The sequence below is a fragment of the Homo sapiens genome, chromosome X, assembly GCF_000001405.40.
Source record: "Homo sapiens chromosome X, GRCh38.p14 Primary Assembly".
Classification (NCBI taxonomy): Eukaryota; Metazoa; Chordata; class Mammalia; order Primates; family Hominidae; genus Homo; species Homo sapiens.
The window spans coordinates 153907285-153929192 of NC_000023.11; the positions used below are offsets into that span (position 1 = coordinate 153907285).

Below are 21908 nucleotides of genomic sequence, written 5' to 3' on the forward strand. Positions count from 1 at the left end.
CAGCCAAGTCTTCAAAGCTGCAGGACCCCTGGGGAAGCTGTTCTCACCTCCAGCACCCACCTGCCCACCCGAGACAGAGAGCTGGCTCCCATCGGGGAATCAACACGAGGTCTTTATGAATCGCCACCCAGCCCTGCCAGGCATCTGAGCAAGGGTACCCGCCACCCAGCAGCCACTGATCAGCCTTCCACAAAGCTGCAGAAGAGGGCTTTCCCCAGCATCCTTCCTCAGCTGCCTCCAAAAGGGGCCTGGGCCAGGGCTGAGGGGCAGGCAGGATGTGGAGCGGGCATCCCTGTGTGCACGGCCCCATCCCACCTCTCTGCACAGGGTGAAGTGCAGGCACCCTGCACTTGCTGGACAGGGCTGGAGAGAAGCAAGGGGGCTGGGGAGAGTGGCCGGTCCAGCGGGTAGCCGCCGGGGGCACGCATCTCCAGCAGCGGCACCTCAGTGTGGCTTGGGGGTCGTGTCTAGGCCCTGGGGGTGGGAAGCTGAGGGTGAGGCTGGGGCCCCAGGGCCCCGGGAGAAGCCTTTGTTCCTGCCCAGGCGGCTGCTGGGCGGGGCCTTTGGGCTTCGGGGCCCAGGACTGGGAGAGGTGGTAGATGCTGGCCCAAGGCCCTGGCGGACAGAGGTCTTTCCCAAGAGCTCCTTAAACACAGAGTCCATGTTCTGTGCCACAGCCTAGCGGAGGGGAAAGAAAGGGAGAGTGACCAGTGAGTTCCCCCGACTGACCCTGCCCAAGACCCACCTGAGTTCCTCCCACTCCCAAAGCAAGCCCTCAGCCAACATCCCCAGTCCCTCAGCCTCCAGGTCACTCTCCCCCACTTTGCACCTGGCATCCCTCCTGTCCCTGTTGGTGTCTCTGTCACAGTCTCCTCTGAGGACAGCAATTCCTTGGTTTAGCCCGGAAGTGGGGACCCCCCTCTTCTCGCCCCCACTCTTTCCCTGGCAGAGATCACAGCCCCCTGCCCATGGCCTCAGGGACCGCCAGCGTGCGGGGACTCCCCAGTCAATGTCCTCCCATGGCGTCTCCTGGCTGCCCTGTCCCTGGCTCCCGCTCCTGCTCCTCCGTGTCTACCGGACCCTCCCTGGGCTCCCTGGGCCTGGGGGCTTGGCCACACCTGGGACACCCGCATGTTCTTGGGCTCTCTCCTCCTTGGGCTTAGCAACTGTCCCGCGGGCTTCCACGTTCAGCCCGACAGTGTTCACAGGGCCCATGGTACAGAGCACGGAGCAGGGTCCCCCAGGTTGTGCGCTTGCCAGGGCCACATCTTGAGCCTTCGCTCTGCTCCTTCGAGAGCCGCTGCTGCCCCACCCCAATCCCCAACCAGCCACCCCCTCCTGCCTCCCTGCCATCTGTCCCTTTCATCCTCCCTGGCGTGCCAAGCGCCTGCCATGGCACCGCCTGTTACCTAGCCCAGCTACAAATGCCAGCCTTGAATCTGCCCTGGAGTCCCTTGCCTCTACCAGGTAAACAGCCTTAACTCAGCCCTGCCACTCCCTGCTCTGAAGCTGAACATGAATCCCAACGTGCAAGCCAGGTGTCTTCTGTCCCTCTCATCCCTGCCTCCGTAGCCGTCCCTCTCCATCCCCACCCGCCCTCACATCTTTGCCTTCCTGCCCTCCACAGGCTCTGCCTTGGGCCTGTGTGTCTGGCGGCAGGTTCCCTTGAGCTAAGGCCAGGGAGGGCAACGACTGGAACCTCGAGGAGGGAGGAGTTTGGCTTCCAAGGGGAGGCAGAGATCCCCCAGGACAGATGTCCCTCACCTGCCACACACCCACTCTCACCTTATCCACCTCCACGTGTTGCTCTGGGGAGGCTGGGACCAAGCAGCGTCGTCTGTGTCCAGAGGGTCCCATGGCCTCAGGTGAGGTGCATGGCTCTGGCCTGCAGGACAGACAGGGAGCCTGGTGGGGGCCCTGGGAAGTCCCTGAGCTAGCTGGGCAGTGGCTCCTCCCATCCTGGGGTGTGGCCAAGGAAAGGAGGCTGGCCCAGTGGTCCCCAAGCTCCTCTAGAGCCTCTCCCTGTCACAAGCTGGGTCATTCTGTCACGTCCTCATCTGCCAACTCCTCCCACTCCCACTGGCCAAAGCCTGACCCCAGTCCCCTCTGGCCTAGAACAGCACACGTGTGGCCCCCTGAGCCCCGTCTTCTTGCTCACCGGTGGACCAGCTCCGATGCCAGGAGGCCCTCGGGACTGCTCCCAGACTCCCCTGCAGTCTGCAGCCCTGCGCCCACCACCTGCTTCTCCGTCCTGCGGTGGGAAGGACCGGCCTGTTTCGAGTGCTCCTTCCCTGCACGGGGTCCAGGGCCAGCAGCTCCGCGCCAGCCAGGAGTGGTCAGAGAGGCTCTGTTCTCTGGCCCAGCCCAGACCTTCAGAATCTAACTTGGGGTCGGGGGAGGGGTGGATGAAGGGGAGACTCCGGGAGCCCTGGGGCCTGAGGGCGCGGCTCACTCACCCGGCGGGCAGCGTGATATACTTGTGGGGGATGAGGCCCCGCATGCCGTTGTGCTCCCCCCGCCACCAGTCGCTCGAGGCCCTCTCGTGCAGCCGCAGTACGTCCCCCCGCCGGAAGCTCAGCTCCTGGGCTGTGCGGCCCGTGTAGGCAAAGCAGGCCACAGCCTCCACGACCCCCTCCAGGTCTGGGGAGGAGAGGGGGTCCAAGCTGTGGGAGGGGGTGTGGACACTAGGGTGGGGACAGGGTGGGGCTCTCTGCCCATCGCCCTCACCATCCTCCTGTGCGGGCATCTCGGCTTCCAGCTCCGGCTCATTGTCCGCCCCCAGGCTCTCCAGCTGGGCGTCCCTGAGGTTCAGGGCAGAGCGAGGCAGATGAGGGGGGCTCTTCTCCAGTGGACCCCCCAGTCCCCTCGGCAGCACCAAGGGTGTACCCCAGGCAGCTGGCGGAAGGCGGTGCCATGCACTTCTCGTAGACGGGGCCAGGCAGCGAGGTCAGGGGCGGGAAGACCCGATCGGGCTGCACTATGAGCGTCTGCACCAGCTGGTTCACCCGGCCCTGCAGCGCCACCGGGTCCTGCCCAGCGGGCACCGGTAGCAGCGTGGGCCCGAAGCACACGGCCAGGTTGTAGGGGTCCATCATGTTCTCATCGCTGTACTGGGCCAGGCTGGGGGGACACGCACATCACAAGCAGAGAGCCCGCACCCCGAGTCCCCCTGTCCCCTCGACCCCTGGCCCCCACCCCAGCACTCGCCCCGCAGCACTCACTGGTTGAGGAAGGTGAAGAGGTAGCGCAGAACCACCAGCACCGGCGCGGGCAGCCGCCACAGCAGGCGGCTCACGTGCTCCACCCTCTCCGCTGTGGCCTCCAGCTCTGTGGCCAAAGCCGCCCAGAGAGAGCCGCGTGAGCGGGGCTGCCCCAGCAAGTGCCCTACCCCGCCAGCCTCAGGCCCCAGCCTCACCCGAAGAAGCCAGCAGCTCGCCGAACAGGTCTGGGGGGAAGAGTGGGGGCTCCAGGCTCCGGAAGTAGAGCTTCAGCACCCCGGCCACCGAGTCCAGGTCATGGGCAGTGCAGCCCTCCACCAGTGGGTCCTCCCCTGCAGATGGGCGAGTGGTGCGGTAGGGGGAGGAAGCTGGTGACATCTGCCCGAGCCCCCACCCCCGCCCGCCCTGCCCGTCCCCACCTCTCTCGAAGGCATCACGGATCTCTGAGACCCGGAGCTGGGCACCCGATACCCGGAAGATGCCTTCATGCTGCAGGCCTGTGGGAGGACAAGGAGCTGGTGGGCACTGAGCATCTTCCCCAGCCCCTCCAGGATGGCCTCCCATGCCAGGTGCTGGGAACTGGGTGCTGGGTGCCAGGACATCGGGAGGGGCTGGGTCCTGCTTACCATTGAGGTTGATGAAGCGAATGCAGCTCTCCACCACCAGGGGCACAGGCTGGCCTGAGCTCTGGGGACAGAGGGTGTTTACTTCACCATGGACACAGCATGCCCTGTGTTGTCATTCAATTGCTTTTTTTTTTTTTTTTTTTTTTTGAGACAAGGTCTCACTCTGTCACCCAGGCTGAAGTGCACTGGCGTGATCTCGGCTCACTGTAGCCTCAGCTTCCTGGGCTCAAGTGATACTCCTGCCTCAAGCTCCCCAATGGTGGGATTACAGGCATGAGCCACCGCACCAGGCTGAGTGCTTTTATTTTCTCTGAAGAACACATCATCGTTGTCGGCACAGAGGCTTAGCACACCGTTTGTTAGATCCACTCGTAGGTGTCTGATATTTTTGATGAGGTTTTAGGCAGTGCCTTACGTTGTATTTGCAAATTGTTGCTGGAATATACAAATGCAATTGAATTCTGTACACCAATCTTGAATCAAGTAACATTTCAAAACTCAAGCTGGGTGTGGTGGCTCATGCCTGTAATCCCAGCACTTTGGGAGGCCAAGGGAGGAGGATCACCTGAGGTCAGAAGTTCGAGACCAACCTGACCAACACGGTGAAACCTCACCTCTACTAAAAATATAAAAATTAGCCAGGTGTGATGGTGCACACAGCTACTTGGGAGGCTGAGGCATGAGAATCGCTTGAACCCCAGCAGGTGGGAGGTGAAGGTTGCAGGGAGCTGAGATCGTGCCACTGCACTCCAGCCTGGGCAACAGTGCAAGAACCAGTCTCAACAAATAAAAAAAAAAAAAAAAAGAAAGAAACTCAAAGTGCTCGTTTAAAGAATCTGTTGATTCTTTTGAATATGCTACACGCATAACCACATCACTGAAAATGACGATATCAGTTCTGATCTTCTGGTATTCTCCATGCCTGGCCCTCTCTGATGCTTGCTTGCTTCTTTTCTTTTCTTTCTCTCTCTTTTCCTTCCTTCCTTCTTTCCTTCCCTCTCTCTCTCTCTCTTTCTTTCTTTCACTGGGATTACAGGCACGTGCCACCATGCCTGGCTAATTTTTGTATTTTTAGTAGAGACGGGGTTTCACCATGTTGCCCAGGCTGGTCTCGAACACCTGGGCTGAAGGGATCTGCCCACCTCAGCCTCCCAAAGAGCTGGGATTACAGGTGTGAGCCACCGTGCCTGGCCCCCTCTGATGCTTTCTGATCTCAGTATTAGTTTTCTGATCTTTCTTGCTTCCCCTTATTTCACTGTCCAGGACCCCCAGTACCATGCTGGCCAGAAGTCGCAGGGGAGAAGCTCTCAATATCTCGCCCCTAAAAATGCCGCTGCCCCAGGTTTTCTATACGTTCCCATTACTAGTTAAGGATGCTCCCTTCAATCAGCGGAGGCTATAGGGGAGCCCAACAGTGGCCTGGAAGAGGCCCACCCAGAAAAGGACAGTTGATGACTGATTGAGAGTGGAGGACCCTGGGATCAGGCAGCTGCTCCGGCCACTGAGGTGACCCAGAGCTGAAGAAAGATCAGCATGTACAGGTGGGCTGGCATGTGGGGCAAAGCTAGTACCTGGATAAACTTCTCCATGTCTCCCCCAAAGAGTCTCTGGTTATACTGGGAGCTGGGGCGGGGCTGGCGGCTCTTCTGGAATTTTCTCTGTGTGTACTGGGTCCTGCAGTGAATGGGAGCTGGCTCTGAGGGGGCCAGGTGTGGAGAATAGGGTGCCCCACCCCCCAGGCCAGCCAAGCCGGCCTCTAATTCTCTGAAGTTATTCCACAATCCAGTGCGAAAACTGGGGAAGTGAGGCCCAGGGGATTGGGCAGCTGAGCTGGGCCCCAGGAAGAGAAGAGATGGCGGACCGTCGCAGGGCCCCAGCCCTCAGGGAGGACTCACCAAGACACCTCCTGCTCCTCCTTGTCACCTGTGGGGTGGGAGAACATTGGTCTGCCTCTCGGGCCAGGGGTCTTCAAGGCATCCCAGAGAGAAAGGTGTGGATAAGAGCCAAGGACAGGCGGGAGGGGAGGACCGTGGGCTAGACAGGGTCCTGGGCAGGGGAGAGGCGGGGAAGGGGGCAGCACTGGGCCCACCTCGCTGAAGGGCCTCCTGCAGCTTCTCGTGCTTGGCCTGCAGCTTGGCGAGGATGCTCCGTCCACTCAGATACTCCTGGAGCTTCTGGGCAGCCCCAAGAAGAGCCCCAAGTGTTAGCCCTGGCTTGAGCCCCTCCCTCTGCCCCAGCAATGCCCCCACGGGTCCCGCCCACCAGCCCAGCCCTCCCCACCGTGAGGTAGAAGGTTTCGGTCTCCTGCTGCTGGCCGCGCCTCCGGCCCGCCTGCCGGCTGCCTGGGTCTGAGCTGGTGGACTTGAGGGACTCGGTGGAGGGGCTGGTCTGGAAGGAATCAAGCACATCCCCGTCATCCGAGGCCACCACCTCCAGCAGGGCCTGCAGTGTCGCCTTCAGAGTCTTGTTCACCTGCAGAGGAGACCACACCAGGGTGGTAAGAGGTGGGGGACAGGGAGGGAGACAGGAAGTCCAAGTCAGAAGGAAGGGGCCAAAGGGAGGGGGGCAGGCAGGGCAGCCACTTCCAACAGCAGGCTGTACAGGCTCCAGGCCCTCGTCTCCCTCTAACCCCCGGTGGGCTGCCCAGACCTCCTCTGTCTCAATGGTCTGTCGGTCCAGGCGGCTCTGGATGTTCTGGGCTCTGGGCAGAATCTCGTCCCGCAGCTCCATTTCAACGCAGATCTCAGCCACCTGCAGAGGGCGGCGGCCAGGGGGCTAAGGGCTGGGCTTGGGCAGTAGGTGCCAAGATCCCCGGGGCATAAGGGAAGCAAGCACCCTTTTGTGGCCTGGCGGCCGGGCACAGGACCACCAGCCCAGACGCTCAGCTGAAGAATGGCAGGAGTGAACACACGTGTCCAAACCAAGACTTGTCCACAGAGGTTCGTGGCGGCACCACTCATCCAACTGACGGATGGCTAAACTCAGCGCGGTCTACCCACAGAATGGAAGAGGATTCAGCCACGAGAAGGAATGAATCCACTTATGTGAAGTGTCCAGCCAGGCAAATCCATAGAGACAGGAAGCAGAGTGGGTGCCAGCTGGAGCAGTGGGGTGCCAGTGGGGCTGGAGAGGAGAACGGGGAGTAGTGGCTCCTTTAGGGGTGACAAAAATGTTCTGGAATTACATGGTGATGGCTGCACAACCACCAAATTGTACACTTTACAGTGCTGAATTTTATGGTATATGAATCGTACCTTAATAAAACTCTATTTAAAACAGAATGGTGGCCCGGCGCAGTGGCTCACGCCTCTAATCCAAGCACTTTGGGAGGCTGAGGCGGATGGATTATCTGAACTCAGGAGTTGGAGACCAGCCTGGCCAACACGGTGAAACCCTGTCTCCGCTAAAAATACAAAAAATTAACTGGGCACGGTGGCATGCGCCTGTAGTCCCAGCTACTTGGGAGGCTGAGGCAGGGGAATCGCTTGAACCCGGGAGGCGGAGGTTGCAGTGAGCCAAGATGGAGCCATTGCACTCCAGCCTGGGCGACAGAGCGAGACGCCATCTCAAAATAAAATAAAATGAAATAGAATGGTAAGGAAGACTGGGGTCTGAGACAGAACAGGGAGAGCCCAGCCCCACCTCTTCCAGGGAAAGGAGTGGACGGAAAAACTGCTCACTGTAACTGGGCAGACATAAATTTCCCTGTGGCAAGATGAGAGCAGCTTGCCTCATGGGCAGAGTGGGAGCCAACGCTTTAGAAAGGAAGGAATTACTCTTTTAAGCATGTAGACATCTAGAAAATTGACATTACAGTTAAAATTGAGAGTGAGGATTCAGCTGTGGCTAAACACTTGCCCTGCTCTCCATCTCCACCAAGCCCCGCCGTACAGGACTGCATGAAGGCGCAAGTCACAGAGTAGAAAGTAAGGCCATTTTGAGATGGGCTCCAACATGGCTGACCCTTGAGGACATGGGACTCAGTGAAAGGAGCCAGTCACAGAAAGGCCCGCACTGTAGGATTCCACTCCTGTGAGGGGCCTCAAAGGAGAGCCGTGAACTCTGTAGAGACGGACAGTGGAAGGGTGGGTGCCAGGGCTGGGGGGTGGGGAGTTGGGGTTGAACGGGGCCAGAGCTTCAGTTTGGGAAGATGAACAAGTTCTGCGGCTGGATGGTGGTGATGGCTGCACAGCACCGTGAATGTGCTTCTGCCCCTGGGCCGCACACTTACAAATGGTGAACGTGGTATGTTTTATGCTATGTGTATTCTGCCACACCTTTTTTTAAAAGTCCATCTAGGCTGGACTGGCTCACACCTGCAATCCCAGCACTTTGGGAGGCCGAGGCGGGTGGATCACTTGAGCCCAGGAGTTTGAGACCAGCCTTGGCAATATGGTAAAACCCTGACTCTACCAAAAATACAAAAATTACCCTGTCTCATAACCTGGTCTCAAAATAAATAAATAAATAAGTAGGTTAAAAATAATTGTTTTTAAAGTACAAATCTTAGCCACGCATGGTGGCATGCACCTATAGTCCCAGCTACTCAGGAGGAGGCTCAGGCAGGAGGATGGCTTGAGCCCAGGAGTTGGAGGCTGCAGTGAGCTATGATCACACCACTGTACTCCAGCCTGGACAACAGAGCCAGACCCTCTCTCTAGAGAAAAAATAAGTGTATGCATACTCTGGGGAACATTGAAATTTTATCCCTCCTCTAAACTCACACGATCAGCAGAAAACTAACAATTTGCTCTCTGGAAAGGATATAGCAGGGATTTTGGACTCAGGGACACTGGTCCCAGATGAGGAAGATGAGAGAACACAGCAGCCCCACCATCGGAAGCTGGCCTGGTCCTATCAGCCCGGCCTCAGTGCTGTCCTGCTGAACACCGGAAATGACCCAGAGCATCAACATCAGGCAAGGCCACTGTGTGACCTTGATGGGCGAAGACAGAAACAAGACCACTCTGCGATCACGCATGAGTGAGGACAAAATCAAGAACTTCTTCCGAGCCACAAAATCATCCCTCCATCCTGGCTAATGTAAGTGACTGTCACTTCCTTGCATCACTTCAGCCTCCATCACTGTCTCTTTCTAGATAAGATTAATCAAGACATCCAATCATACAATTACCCTGCTTCCAGAAGGCATCCAATCCAGGACCAAGCCCCACTTACCTGGGCCCTCCCCCAGATCCCCTAAGGCAAGCCCAAGTCCTCTAAGGCCTTTCCACTACCCTCTCACTGAGAGGCCCCAGGCTCCCCACGGAGCAGGGCTCCCTCCAGCAATGGAGATTATAGGGCTGTTCCTGCTAGGCTTTGGCTGGAGGGTGTGGAACTAAAACCAGGTAGTTCCAAGGAAATCCACACAGCAGAGTGAGCCCCCAGCCCTCTCACCCCCTCTCCTCCCTAGACAGGGTCAGAAGAGTTTCTACTGGGGAAACTGGCCGGGCCAGGAGGAAACACCACAGACACCCACATTTGTGGGGTATGTGTTCAGGCCTCTTCTTAAATATGAACTGATGGCCAAGAATCACCAAACAGACACGATCAGCAGAAAACTAACTATTTGCTCTCTGGAAAGGATATAGCAGGGATTTTGGACTCACGAACAAAAGCAAGAAAATAGAGCAAATGCAGGAACAGGAGAAAACAAAAAACATTTCAGGCCGGGCATGGTGGCTCACGCCTGTAATCCCAGCACTTTGGGAGGCTGAGGCAAGCAGATCACCTGAAGTCAGGAGTTCGAGACAAGCCTGGCCAACATGGTGAAACCCTGTCTCTACTAAAAAATAAAAATAAAAGGGTCGGGCACGGTGGCCCACACCTGTAATCCCAGCACTTTGGGAGGCCGAGGCAGGCGGATCACCTGAGGTCAGGAGTTCAAGACCAGCCTGGACAATATGGTGAAACCCTGTCTCTACTTAAAATACAAAAATCAGCCAGGCGTGGTGGCGGGCACCTGTAGTCCCAGCTACTCAGGAGGCTGAGGCAGGAGAATTGCTTGAACCTGGGAGGCAGAGGTTGCAGTGAGCCGACATTGCGCCACTGCACTCTAGCCTGGGCGACAGAGAAAGAGTCTGTCTCAAAAAATAAATAAATAAAATAAATTAAATTTAAAAAATTAAAAAATTAGCCAGGTGTGGTGGCAAGTGCCTGTAATTCCAGCTACTCGGGAGGCTGAGGCAGGAGAATCACTTGAACCCAGGAGGCGAAGTTTGCAGTGGGTCAAGATCGTGCCACTGCACTCCAGCCTGGGCGACAAGGGGGAAACTCCATCTCAAAAAAAATAAAAGCTTCAGAAAGATTCAAGAAGTACTGTATTCATGAAATAAGAATAAAGGGTTGGCCGGGCACAGTGGCACACCTGTAATCCCAGCACTTTGGGAGGCCGAGGCAGGCCAATTGCTTGAGCCCAGGAGTTTGAGACCAGCCTGGGCAACATGGTGAAACTCCCTTGCTACAAAATATAGAAAAATTAGCCTGGCGTTGTAGTGCAGGCCTGTAGTCCCAGCTACTTGGGAAGCTGAGATGGGAGGACCAGAAGGTTGCATCTGCAGTGAGCTGAGATCACATCACACCCCTGCACTCCAGCCGAGGGGACAGAGTGAGACCCTGTTTCAAAAACAAAACACAACAAAACAAAACAAAGAATACAGACATTTTCAGATGTGCAAAGTCAGGAAACCCTTGGTGAAGGTGTCACCAAAATAAGGGTATCAAACTAAGAAAGCTGCTGCCGTGGAATCCGGAAACAGAGCACTGGGCAGAAGTGAAGCACTCCAGACTGGAAGGCTCTGGGGGAGGGCGCAGAGGAGAAGGTTGACCTCACAGGTGCCTGGTGTGGAGGACAGTGCTGGGACGAGGTAGCGATCAACTCCTAGCAATGGGCATGTTCTAGCAAGCAGCATTCCTGAGGCAAGAGAGTTATAAATTCCAGAAGAAAAGGAAAAATTGTCCAAGGAAGGACATGTGATCCTAATACAGTACATGGCTCAGCTGCCAACAGTACCTGTTGTCATGGTGATTTAAACATTGAATGTTAATTTAGCCAAAAATTCTGGGATAAGCCCACTGGGAGAACAAGATGCAGGGAAGCGTGTGGTGGCTGTGAGAGATGCTGGTGGCACTGGGTCATCATTGGCCAATGGAAAATGGCTGCTTGACACCGGGAGGTGGGTGGCTGTTTCTGGGGGTGGGAGCTGGGAACGGGAGGGGTGGGTTAGGGAGCAGCTGTGACGCCATCGGAAGCCCTGGTGATGCCGGACTCTTCGTAAAGTTCCAAGTCGGCCCGAAAGGGGCCCAATGTAATCCCAGATCATTGACAATGCCCATCAGGATAAACTGCTGCAGGAAAAACTAGCTCGACGGAGAAGGATAAAGAAGCCCCATTCCATCTTACTGCCAAGTTTGTGTCACGAAATTTAAAAACACAGAGAAACCAGCCTAGAACAATGTATGGGCAGCTACACGGCTGCCTGCTGCACGGTTTGAACAGTTAGTGTCTTGCCCTCCTTGGCCATTGCGGGGGTGCACCCTTGGAGTGAGGCTGCAAATGGAAGTGGGACACTTCTCTAGCTGCCGCACTGCCTGAGACCATGGAGAACTTGGATTCCTGAGCAAAGTGTGGGTCATGCCACTCCACTGCCCACCATTACAGTGAAGGCCAGAGAATGCCAAGCCCAGCAGGGGGTGACCCTCACCTCATCCCCATCATGGGGGTGGTAGTCAAAGCGCAGCGGGGGACAGAAGACGGTAGCATGCACCTCGAGAACCTTGGCTTTGTCCCCTGGAGGATCCAGGGCCTCCACAGCTTCTTCCAGGCTGCCCAGGCCCTGCACTTGGGAGGCTTGGGTGCGGCTCTCAGCGGCCGTGTAGCTCCGGAGCACCTGCCCCAGGGCCAGGTGGAACCCTGTGTCACAGCACTGAGGAGGAAACAAGGAGATGCTTGGGTAGGTCCTGGAGCCACAGCTTCCCAGCCCCGAGGCACCAGGCACCTTTTCCCACCTGCCCACCAAGGACTCACGTCCATGAGGTCCAAGACGTCATGCAGGTAGTAGTTACTGACAGCAGCGTTGACACTAGCCAGGCTAAGCAGGTACTCGTTGCGCGCCTTTGTGCACTTGAGTTTGTGCTCCATGAACTTGGCCTGCCGCTACTCAAGACAATGCAAGCGTGCCAGGGTCACGCACGTGGCCAGCCCCTATCTCTAGCCTTTCATGTAATGCCCATCGCCTCCCCTCCCACTGTGGACAACTACACCTGAACTGGTCAAGCCCAGAAGTCCTGCTGCCTTCCCCACGCCACAGTCCACAGTGTGCTCAGCCCAGTGCCAGGAGGTGACTTGATTCCCCGGCTGTTCACCCGCCACTTGCCTTGGTTCGAGCCACAACATTCCCCACAGAAGTGGGGGATGACACAGAACTATTCACAGATACCTGATGAGTGGAAGGTGCGCACATGGCACCCCACCATGGAGGGTGCACGAGAAACCCAGCTTGGAGCCAGCACACAGGTGCACAGCTGGAAGCGGCCACAGGCCTCTGCGGGGGCCAGAGCTGAGGGGGAACGAGTACCCCAAAGGGTAGGGATAGATCATCAAGAGCCATGAAACAGAACCTGCTGGCACCTGGGTTCTAAAACTGGCACTCTATTTTTTTTTTATTTTTTTTTTTTGAGACAGAGTCTCGCTCTGTCGCCCAGGCTGGAGTACAGTGGTGCAATCTTAGATCACTGCAACCTCCGCCTGCTGTGTTCAAGTGATTCTCCCGCCTCAGCCTCCCAAGTAGCTGGGATGACAGGCACCCGCCATCATGCCCGGCTAATTTTTGTATTTTTAGTAGAGATGGGGTTTCACCATGTTGGCCACACTGATCTTGAACTCCTGACTTCGTGATCCACCCACCTCAGCCTCCCAAAATGCTAGGATTACAGGCGTGAGTCACCGCACCTGGCTAAAGCTGGCACGCTAACCACAGCAGCCAGGGAGACCTTCCCCCAACACAGCCAAACTCTGTCATTTCCCCTAAGAACACCTGAGATGCTCGACTCCCTCCTCTGCTCCCAGAGTCCCAGAGACCATGACTGTCAGCCACGCACAGCCTGGCGGCTCCATCCAGGCATTTCCCAGCCTCCCCACTCTCTGTACTGGGCTCACCTCGAAGGCCCTTTCTCCGTGCGTGTCACCCCATCACCCACCCTAAGTGTCTTCTTGCCCCCCTCTGAAACCTTACGGAATGGCTGGCAGAACAGCAGAGCTGCAGGGGCCCCGCTGGGAGCATGGAGAGGCTGCATGGGGCTGTCCAGGGCCAGGCAACTGTTTTCCCCACTCTCTCAGGCCCTGGGAGCCTTCCGTATGGAATCCCTGGAACCTGATGGCACTGTCCTGCCACTCCTGCCCTCCCCTGCACCCAGCCCTGACTTCCCCCTCAGCACAGCAGGTCCTAGTTAGGGCCCATGGCCCATAGGCCTGCGTCTGAGGTGCCCTCCAGGCCCACCTTCTCCACCAGCCTCCCTCCCTTCTTGAGGGAGCTCTTGCGGAGGGGCCCTGCCTCAGTGGCACCAGCGGTGGTGGTGGGGACACTCCGGCCTGCCCGCTTCTCCTCCTGCCGCTCGGCCTCCCGGAGCTTGGCCTCGGCATTCACGCTCTCCATGTGATATGCCTGGTACGTCTTCTTGGCCTGCAGGGAGACCCAAAGCAAGGTGGTGCTGGTGAAGGCCACGGCTGGGCCAGCCCCCAGCCCTCTACCCCTGCCCCTCTGGAACTTGGACCTCAGAGCTGGGCGATCCCATGTGAGCACTTAGCCTAACGCCCTGTGCCTAGGGAGAGAGGCCTTTGCCCCTAGGTGCGTGCTTCTCCCTGAGCCTGGCTTGGGGTGATGTGATGGTCTGGCGGTGTTCCTCCCCCACTGTGAGTGGCATTTCTCCCTGGACCATTGGGGCAGGCCCCTCCCCAGCCCTTTCCTCACCGTCTGGAGCTCTGAGACCACCTCCAGGAGCTCATCCTGCAGCTGCTGCTCCAGATCCCTGCTCTAGAGGCAGAGGCAAGGGTGAGCACGGCACTGCCCAGAGCGGCCCCGCCAGGCACTGGAAGCTCTGCCCAGATCAAGCCCCATCGGGGGGGCACACAGGTTCGCTCTGCCTGCTCCCCACCTGGCCTCCAGTGCCCTCCCAGCCACAGTGCCTCCTGATCCCAAAGCCTCGAACACTTCCCGTGGCCCAGGATGAGAGCCTCACCTTCTTGACCAGGCGCCCCACGTCCTCTGCAATGTGACTCAGGCGCTGGGCCAGGGGCCCGGCCAGCACCTCACTCAGGGCCGCGCTCTCCCGGCTCTGCTGCCGCGTGTGCTGCAGCAGCACCGCCCAGCAGTGCAAGGGCGACAGGAGGGACGGCTCCTTCCTGGGGGTAGAGGGGCACTGAGACCTGGGAGCGGAGCTTGGGCCCTGCCGTGGCCCCCCTGCCAGCACATCACCTACCGGAAGCTTTGGTGCTCCCGGCTGCTCCCCAGGCGGCCTCCACGGCTGGAGAAGCGCTCGGCCAGCTTTTCCAGGCCCCGGGAGTATTCCAGCTCCACCTCAGCGCGGCGCCGCATGAACTCTGCCAGCTCCTGCAGCAACTCCCGCCGCAGCTCGCCCTGCAGCTCCAGGCAGCGCAGCTGCTCGCTCAGCTGCCAGCGCATCTCTGTGGGGGGAACCATGGCTCAGGCCTGGTCAGCACGCCCTGCCTGGGTCAGCCAGGCCAGCGTGGGATGGGAGAGGCAGAGGCACACAGACCCCAGTCCCGTCGGCTCTGAGGGCTCCTTCGGACCCAGCCTAGGCTGAGGGCAAGAGCTAAGAGGGGAGGAAAGAAGCTAGGCCCCTGCAGGCAGATCTGGCCTCAGCTGTCCAGCCGACCTCTGCGCTGAGGCCAACAGATGGCCAGAGCCACCCGGTTGAGGGGGAAGGGGAAGGGTGTCCCAGAGAGAGGGGAGAGCCGCCCCAGCGCCAGCCAGGCACCTTTCAGTTTGGCTTCCTGTCTCTCCCTCGTTCCTGGAAAGCCTCTGAATGGTTTCCCCTGCGACTTCCTTTCCCGCCGGTACCCAGGCTCCGGGAGGTGGCAGCCTCCCTTGCAAACACACGGATACACAACACACAGATCACAGTGCTGCTCAGGGCAAGCCTGCAGCGATCTCGCAGTCTCAGTGGCTGGGGAAGCCTGCCCTCAGGCCCCAGGGGAAAGGACAGTCCACAGTGAGGGCTGGGAGCCAGGGAGAGCTGATCCGGCCTTGTAAGTGAAAGAATGGGGCAGGGAGCTAGCCCCCGTCTTCTGACCCCACTTCCCACTCCCAATCACCCCCCGCCCCACCTGTGCATTCCCCCACCCTGCAGAGAGAGTCACACCCAGGGCCCCATACTGCCGGCCTTTTGACACCCTATCACTGGCTTGATTTGGCAACGCTGCTTCCCCCACACAGGCCTGAAGCAAAGAAGTGCCTGTCCAGCAAGTTTAAGCAACCTGCGGAAGACACTTTTGCCATCTCCTGAGTGCCCGTCCCGAGTAAATAAGATGCTAGCTCAGCTTCTGGCCAGCAGGCTGCCCACCTACTCATCTCCATCCACATCCCCAGGGAGGGACATGAATTGATGTCTTCATTCAGCAGAATGTTGATTATGCACCCATTCTGTGGCAGGCACGTTTTAAATACAAAGGCAAAGAGGTTTGACCAAGTGTCTGCCCTCTTGGAGCTGGGATTGGAATGGGGCACGAACACATATCAGAATGCCCAGGAGTGATGGGTGCGGAGAAGATGAACCCACAAAGCAAGATCAGAGCCAGGGGTGGGTGGGGACAGGGAGGACCTCTTTTTAAAGGAGGGTGGTCAAGAACAAGCCGCATCGTTGGAGCAGAAGGCTGGAGCTGGCTGTACGTGGGCAGTAGGGGGAGTCCGAGAGACCGGTAGGGACAGATGGCACAGAGCCCGGGGTCTGGGCAGAGCTCCCAGCTGGACTCCGAGTGAGAGAGGAGCCACAGTAGTGGGGTGATGTGGTCCAGCTTCGTTTTCAGGGCCCCCTCACACTGCCAGGTGGAGCCCAGGTGGCAGCTACTGTGCTAGTCCAGGCAAAAGACGGCAGGATTCAGACCAGCAGCAGCGAGGGAGGACTCCGCTGAGAAGAGCTCAATCCCATTGGATTTCTGTCCCGCCAGTGACTTCCCAGGGGCTGTTGCATGGGGACCCTGTGGGTTCCGCCTGCCCAGCATCCCTACCTCCTCCCCTGATCTCCTATTGGAGAATGTCCCCTTCCTAGTCTCAGCCCCCTTGACTCCAGGTGCCCCAGCCCTGGCTGCATGCGTCACCCATCCCTCTGTCCCTCCACTCCCTGCCCCCACCAGACTAGCCAGGTGAGGGACCCAGGAGCCTGACCCTTCCAATTGAATTACTGAACAGGAGAGCTCTTCCCACCGGCAGATCAAGCTGGGTAAGTGGAAGCCTGGGGCACGGGACCTCCCGACAGAGCAGGGCAGAGCCCACGATGCCAAGTGAGACAGATGGAGAGTGTCTTCATCCTATCCGAGGCTGGCCTCCTGTGGTTAACTCGTCAGCTCCAAGGCCAGGTGGGGTGGGCGCTAATGCCATTTGAAATCAGGAGAGTCCTCACTGAATCAGTTTAACGTTTTGTTTTGATTTTTTGTTTTGAGACGGAGGATGTTGCCCAGGCTGGAGTACAGTGGTGCGATCTCGGCTCACTGCAACCTCCGCCTCCCGGGTTCAAGCGATTCTCCCGCCTCAGCCTCCCGAGTAGCTGGGACTACAGGGGCGCACCACCACACCCAGCTAATTTTTGTATTTTTAGTAGAGACAGGGTTTCATCATGTTGGCCAGACTGGGTCTTGAACTCCTGACCTCAGGTGATCCGCCCGCCTCGGCCTCCCAAAGTGCTGGGATTACAGACGTGAGCCACCACGCCTGGCCCAGTTTAACATTTTTTGATAAAAGTAAATTTCATTTCATTCCAAGAAAGGTGTTAGACAACTGCTCGCCTCACTGGCCCTCTGGAGCCTGCCCTGCCCTGCTTCCCCCAGAGGAATACAATCCCTGGGGACTTATGACAACTGAACAGTGCAGAAGGAACCAGCAGAGGGAACCGCTGCCTTTCTTCATCACTGCCGGCAGCAAAAGCTGACTGGAAGCCATGTCCTAGTCCAGATCCGGGCATGCACACCGGCTGGTGTTGAGCAGGCAACTTGTGAATTGCAAGTCGATTGCATTGGTGGCTTTCCTGGCAGAGCTTTCGGATCTCAGTTCAGACAAACTCGTCAGCACACCCTGTCCTGACCTCCCCCTAAACTAGGGCTGGCCCTCTTCCGACCCCTTCTTGGCACCGTGCACTTTCCTTCCCTTTGTAGTGCTTATTATCATAATGCAAAGTCTATGTCTCCCCCACTAGACCCGTGAGCCATGTGAGGGCGGGGTGGCCACTGACGCCATTTGAAATCAGGGGAGTCCTCATTGAATCATTGCTTTTACTCTGGGTAAAAAGCCAGGGCTGGAGGGGCTGGAGTCGGGGTTCTCTCTGGTACAGCAGTATACTCCCAGGGCCTGGGACAGCACAGATGTATAGGAAACATCTGGCAAAAGGAGAGCTGGAATCCATGTCTGCCTGAATTACAGAGCTGGGCCCCGGGCCCCACCAGCACTTCCTGTGAGCAAGGCATTTGGTCTCACTTCTGCTGACAAGCAAAACAGAAGAAAAGATGGTCTCCAAAACCACCGCTATGCTGACCTTTGAGAATTTAGGGTGTCAAGACAGTGACCCCACTTTGTAGAATGGTAGGAAGCTTTTCCAGGGTGTGGGATGCAGACCCAGAGCAAGTGAGGAACCCTTAGACAGTCGTGCTCGAAACCCCAACTTTTCAGTGTGAAATCACTGACCCATATTTGCTGACTGAAGTTTTCCAAGTCTTTCAGCTTCATGGCATTTTGGGGAAGCAGGATGGAGATCATTACCTCCATCTGAGCAAGATGATGGCGAGGCTTGGAAAGCTGGCTCACCCTGTGTAGTCACCTCAAGCTGGCTCTGGACACAGGCTGCCTTTTCCAAAGGAGGACTGGAGCATACTTTGGTATAAATTGCTTGCACTGAATAATGATGTTAGAACCTACATCTCTGGGTTCAAAGGCACTTCAAGGGTCATTGCATTCTACGTCCTAGAAGTTGCAGTGCTGTATGACCACGGGCAAGTCACTGCACCTCTCTGAGCTTGTTTCCGTAATTGGTAAAATGGAGTGATTGAGAGTGATATGGACGAGCTGCTGGCACTGAGCTGCTGCCTCTTTCCTTTGCAAGAGTTACCATGCCCTGAATAAGATGGGCACAAGCTATTGGCTAAGAATTTGCAAAGCTGATTTGCATGTGATTTGCACATGGGTGTTTATCAGAACCCAGAGGTTCAATTTCAGAAGGCTGAGAAGCCAGCCCTGTTAAATCTCTCAACCAAGACTCACTGCGCCAGCTTGACCCAGAGACAGTGGCCCTCGCCTCTGCTCCCCCTCAGTGCTAAAGGGAGGCAAAAGGTGCTGAAGCTCCAGGGACTGCAGTGGGGTTACGGCCAGGTGATCTCCACCAATCCACTCACCCGGACTCCCTTACTCACCCCCCAGCCCAATCAAGCTGGTTGACTTCACTGTAGCTAAAATACTGCCTTCTGAGGGGCACGTTGGTGCATCTGGCTCTCTTTTACCAGCGGCCACCAGTGTCTCCACTGAACCTTGGGTGAGAAGCGGTAGACCCAAGGAGGACAGAGACCAAAGGAAGGAAGACAGGAAAGAAGGAAGGGAAAATGGCAGGCGGTTGAGGCCAAATGGGCGTCGGGAGGCAGGCAAGGGGCTCAGGCTCCCTCCTCCACCCCCGCTCCAGAGGTCGCTGGGGAGAGCATCGGGCCCTGGGCCAGCGCGGGGACGCTTGGAGCTCCCTCACGACCTTGGGTTCTCCGCAGGAAACGGGCCGGGAGCGCCCGGCGCCCTCTCACCTTTGACTTGCGTCTCATACTCAGCCTGCAGCCCCCGCTCCCGCCGCAGCTTCCCGTGAGCGGCCATGGCGGCCTCGCGGCCGCGCCGTCGAACCCCACTGCTCCCACGCGGCCGTGAGCGGGCCCGGCGCCGGGACTTGGGGGCGCTGCGGCCAGCACCCTGCGCGGGCTCCGCCCAGCCCCGCCCCCAGCGCGGCTCCCGGTGGGGCGGGGCGGCCCAGGGCTGGCACTGCCCGCGAGGGGCTCCTGGGGGGGCAGGGCGCCCCTTCCAGCCCCACTGTGCCCCGGCCTTGCCGTCCCCTCCCATTGGGCCTGCACCTAGGCTGCCTTGTGCCCAAAGCCCCGCTGCCAAGCAGCCGGAGCAGGTGTGAGAGCCCCAACGTAAGCTGGCATCCCAGGCTGCCATCCCACCACCTCCAGAAGGCTGTCCCTGGTCACCACTGCCAGACTGTACCATTCACAGCGGGGCCGCTGGCCCACTGTACCAGTGGCCATGAACACCATTGCTGCCCCAGGCTCTGGACTCCCCCTGGGTTGCCTCCTTCCCCCAGACATCCGATGGGGTCCTCCCTTCCCAAGTCAGCCCCCAGAGAGGCCCAGGGAGCCCCAGGGAGCCTTGAGAGCTGGGGTGGGAAGTTCAGAGGGGAGGGGGAAGGAAGGTCAGCACCAGAGAGCAGAACCTCAGCAGCTGGCTGCCGTTCCCTCCAGGCCCCCTTGGTAGGGGAGGAGAGTTCAGCTCCGGTTCCCCTTCTGCTCAGCCCCACAATTTCCCCATAGGCGGTTACCACTTCCTGCTGCCGGAAGAGACTGCTCTGCCTCCCTTCCCCTGCAGCTGCACCTGCCCGTCATAGGCCTGAGGGGGGCAGCCCCCTCGGAGTGAGGTCTTAGCTACCCTGGGGGCAAGTCTTGGGGCCCCCCTCATCCAGGGGTGGTGGGGCTTTCCTCCACCCTCTACCACAGGGCAGCAGCTTTTCTCCGGGAAATCGGGAAGGCGGGAGGCGGGAGGCGGTTGACAAGCCAAGCAGACAACTGGCTTCAATTTGGTGGGAGGGAAATCCCTGGGGTATAGATGTGGGGAGAGAGGCAAGGCACTTGGGCACCAGGCGTGTGTTCCGAAGGCGGGCGTGGGGGCACTAGTGCAGGGGTACTAGGCGTGTGTGTGCACGGATGTCAGAGTCAGGCTCTGTGCAAATGCGGGCACACATGACCTTGACCTGCAGATCTGGGGAGGGGAGGCTGTGCGGGTACTTCCTGCCTTTCAACTGTGAGCAATTAATTCTCTTGCCCAGAAGGAAAAAAACACTCCCTCAGCTCCCCGCCCCCTTCTCCCAGTACCAAGGCCCTTCTCGAACACGTCGTCGTGTGTGTCTGCAGGACCTGGGGCTTCAAGGCCTGGGAGCTAGCCAGACCCAGGACCTGGACTTCCAGCAGCTGGTCTCGGAAGTACCGATGTTCGAGTCCTCCAGCGAGACTAGAGAGCCTGCGCCCCTGCCCACAGCGCGTACAGCCGCACCCACACTCCAACCTGCTCCTGGTCGGGAGACTCACACGTCCCACCGCTGCCTCAGGCCAAGGGGAACCAGGGAGCCCCGCCTCTCACTAGCTGGCCCCAACACATCTTGCCCCTCCATCCGAGCCCTGACTGGTCCCCAAAGGTCCCTCCACCCAGCAGAGCCAGCCACAGGGCTCAGGCAGGCAGGAAAGGCCTCAGCCGGTGCCTTCAAACGCTCTCTTCACTCCTTTTTTCACTCCAGAGCTATTCCTAGGATGCCCCATTCAGCCCGTACTTTAGGGCCTGAGTGTTGGGCCCTGGCTTTTAGGGCACTTGTTTGGCATTTAAGGCCCTGAACGCAACTGCCCCCTGCTGCTCCGTCTATCCTTCGCTCCATTGTTCCCCTTCAAAGCATCCAAAAGCCAGGCAGCCCGCAGAAGGCGCGGACCTGCCCGCATGGGGACGGAGGCTCAGCGGCCGACAGGCATCGGGCCCGCCGGGGACGGACGGCAGAGGGCGGGCCGGGTCCCATGGGCCTGGCCGGGGCGGAAGGAGGGCGCCGCGGGCGCCGTGGGAGCCTGGGACACCTCCCTTCCACCGGTGCCGGGGCGCGGCCGACGCAGTGCGCAAGCCCGCCCTTCCCCCGCACCCTGCGCGCGAGCCCAGTGCCGCCGGACCAATCAGAGCCTGGGAACGAACCTCGCCGCGGGCTTGCGAACCGGAAGACACTGCCGCCAGGCGCGGGGCGGGACAGGACTCCGCCTCCGGCCCATACAAAGGGAAGCCCACGTCTTAAGCCAATCAACACAGCCTCGCCCGAGCCGGGAAGCGGAGAGCTGTGGGCGTGCGCAGACGCGCCTTTCCGGCCCCGGCCCCGCCCTGCCGCGCTCTGGGCTCCGCTTCCACAGCTGCCGGCTGCCTGCTGGTCACGTGCGAGGCGCCAGCCAAAGAGAACCGAGCTCCAGGCCTGTGTGGCGAGTTTTCAACCCGGCGGAGGAGCAGTGTGCCACCTGCAGTAGCAGGACACAGAGAGGGCTCAGGAATACAGGGCCCGCCCAGGGACTAGGGACAGTAAATGATGGCTTTGCAGCCGGAGGGGAGGGAAGGGAAAGGAGGAAAGACACAGAAACGAGCGTTACGGTTAGGGTGACTCCATGAAAAACAGGATTTTGATATATATGTGTATATGTATATATATATGTATATATATATTTTTTTTTTTTGAGACGGGTCTCTGTCCCTGGAGTGTGGTGGCATGATCAGGGCCCACAGCAACCTCCACCTCCCGGGCTCAAGCGATCCTCCTGCTTCAGCCTCCCGAGTAGCTGGGATTACAGGCATGCACCACCACACCCGGGTAAGTTTTCTATTTTTAGTAAAGATGGGGTTTCGCCATGCTGCCCAGGCTGGTCTCCAACTCCTGAGCTCAAGTGATCCCGCCCACCTTGGCCTCCCAAAGTGCTGTGATTACAGGCATGAGCCACCGCACCCAACAGCCGCCCAGTTTTGTATTTTGCATGAAATTGTTAATGAGGGAATACATGGCTTTATGCATTTGTGTAACC

At 58.4% G+C, this 21908-nt stretch overlaps 1 protein-coding gene across 2 annotated transcripts, besides 7 other annotated features; it reads right to left on the reverse strand.

Moving 5' to 3' along the window:
- ARHGAP4 (Rho GTPase activating protein 4) lies at positions 94-18980 on the reverse strand. 2 transcript variants are annotated; one of them, NM_001164741.2, is made up of 23 exons: positions 18852-18980; positions 14321-14525; positions 14081-14243; positions 13813-13875; positions 13342-13524; positions 12283-12402; positions 11871-11999; positions 11548-11769; positions 6494-6595; positions 6125-6316; positions 5934-6018; positions 5740-5767; positions 5416-5518; positions 3845-3905; positions 3638-3715; positions 3416-3550; positions 3222-3327; positions 2887-3120; positions 2728-2801; positions 2457-2640; positions 2159-2251; positions 1786-1885; positions 94-678 (listed from the first exon to the last, which is right to left on the reverse strand). In NM_001164741.2, exons 1-23 carry the CDS (start codon positions 18916-18918, stop codon positions 445-447), a joined length of 2961 nt encoding a protein of 986 aa, NP_001158213.1. In that variant the 5' UTR covers positions 18919-18980; the 3' UTR covers positions 94-444. The 2 variants fall into 2 exon arrangements, with proteins under 2 accessions (NP_001158213.1, NP_001657.3); NM_001666.5 differs by lacking the exon at positions 12283-12402.
- Positions 1629-2322: an enhancer, noted in NCBI's record as "H3K4me1 hESC enhancer chrX:153174367-153175060 (GRCh37/hg19 assembly coordinates)". NCBI's record gives its function as "activates a minimal SCP1, AML or CMV promoter by ChIP-STARR-seq in naive H9 embryonic stem cells {active_cell/tissue: H9 hESC(naive)}" and the evidence as "EXISTENCE:reporter gene assay evidence [ECO:0000049][PMID:30033119]".
- Positions 2323-3015: an enhancer, noted in NCBI's record as "H3K4me1 hESC enhancer chrX:153175061-153175753 (GRCh37/hg19 assembly coordinates)". NCBI's record gives its function as "activates a minimal SCP1, AML or CMV promoter by ChIP-STARR-seq in naive and primed H9 embryonic stem cells {active_cell/tissue: H9 hESC(naive and primed)}" and the evidence as "EXISTENCE:reporter gene assay evidence [ECO:0000049][PMID:30033119]".
- Positions 13657-14159: an enhancer, noted in NCBI's record as "H3K4me1 hESC enhancer chrX:153186395-153186896 (GRCh37/hg19 assembly coordinates)". NCBI's record gives its function as "activates a minimal SCP1, AML or CMV promoter by ChIP-STARR-seq in naive H9 embryonic stem cells {active_cell/tissue: H9 hESC(naive)}" and the evidence as "EXISTENCE:reporter gene assay evidence [ECO:0000049][PMID:30033119]".
- Positions 16140-16640: an enhancer, noted in NCBI's record as "H3K4me1 hESC enhancer chrX:153188877-153189377 (GRCh37/hg19 assembly coordinates)". NCBI's record gives its function as "activates a minimal SCP1, AML or CMV promoter by ChIP-STARR-seq in naive H9 embryonic stem cells {active_cell/tissue: H9 hESC(naive)}" and the evidence as "EXISTENCE:reporter gene assay evidence [ECO:0000049][PMID:30033119]".
- Positions 17147-17276: an enhancer, noted in NCBI's record as "active region_30042". NCBI's record gives its function as "activates an Ori minimal core promoter by ATAC-STARR-seq in GM12878 lymphoblastoid cells {active_cell/tissue: GM12878}" and the evidence as "EXISTENCE:reporter gene assay evidence [ECO:0000049][PMID:35858748]".
- Positions 18735-19324: a silencer, noted in NCBI's record as "silent region_21073". NCBI's record gives its function as "represses an Ori minimal core promoter by ATAC-STARR-seq in GM12878 lymphoblastoid cells {active_cell/tissue: GM12878}" and the evidence as "EXISTENCE:reporter gene assay evidence [ECO:0000049][PMID:35858748]".
- Positions 20735-21294: a silencer, noted in NCBI's record as "silent region_21074". NCBI's record gives its function as "represses an Ori minimal core promoter by ATAC-STARR-seq in GM12878 lymphoblastoid cells {active_cell/tissue: GM12878}" and the evidence as "EXISTENCE:reporter gene assay evidence [ECO:0000049][PMID:35858748]".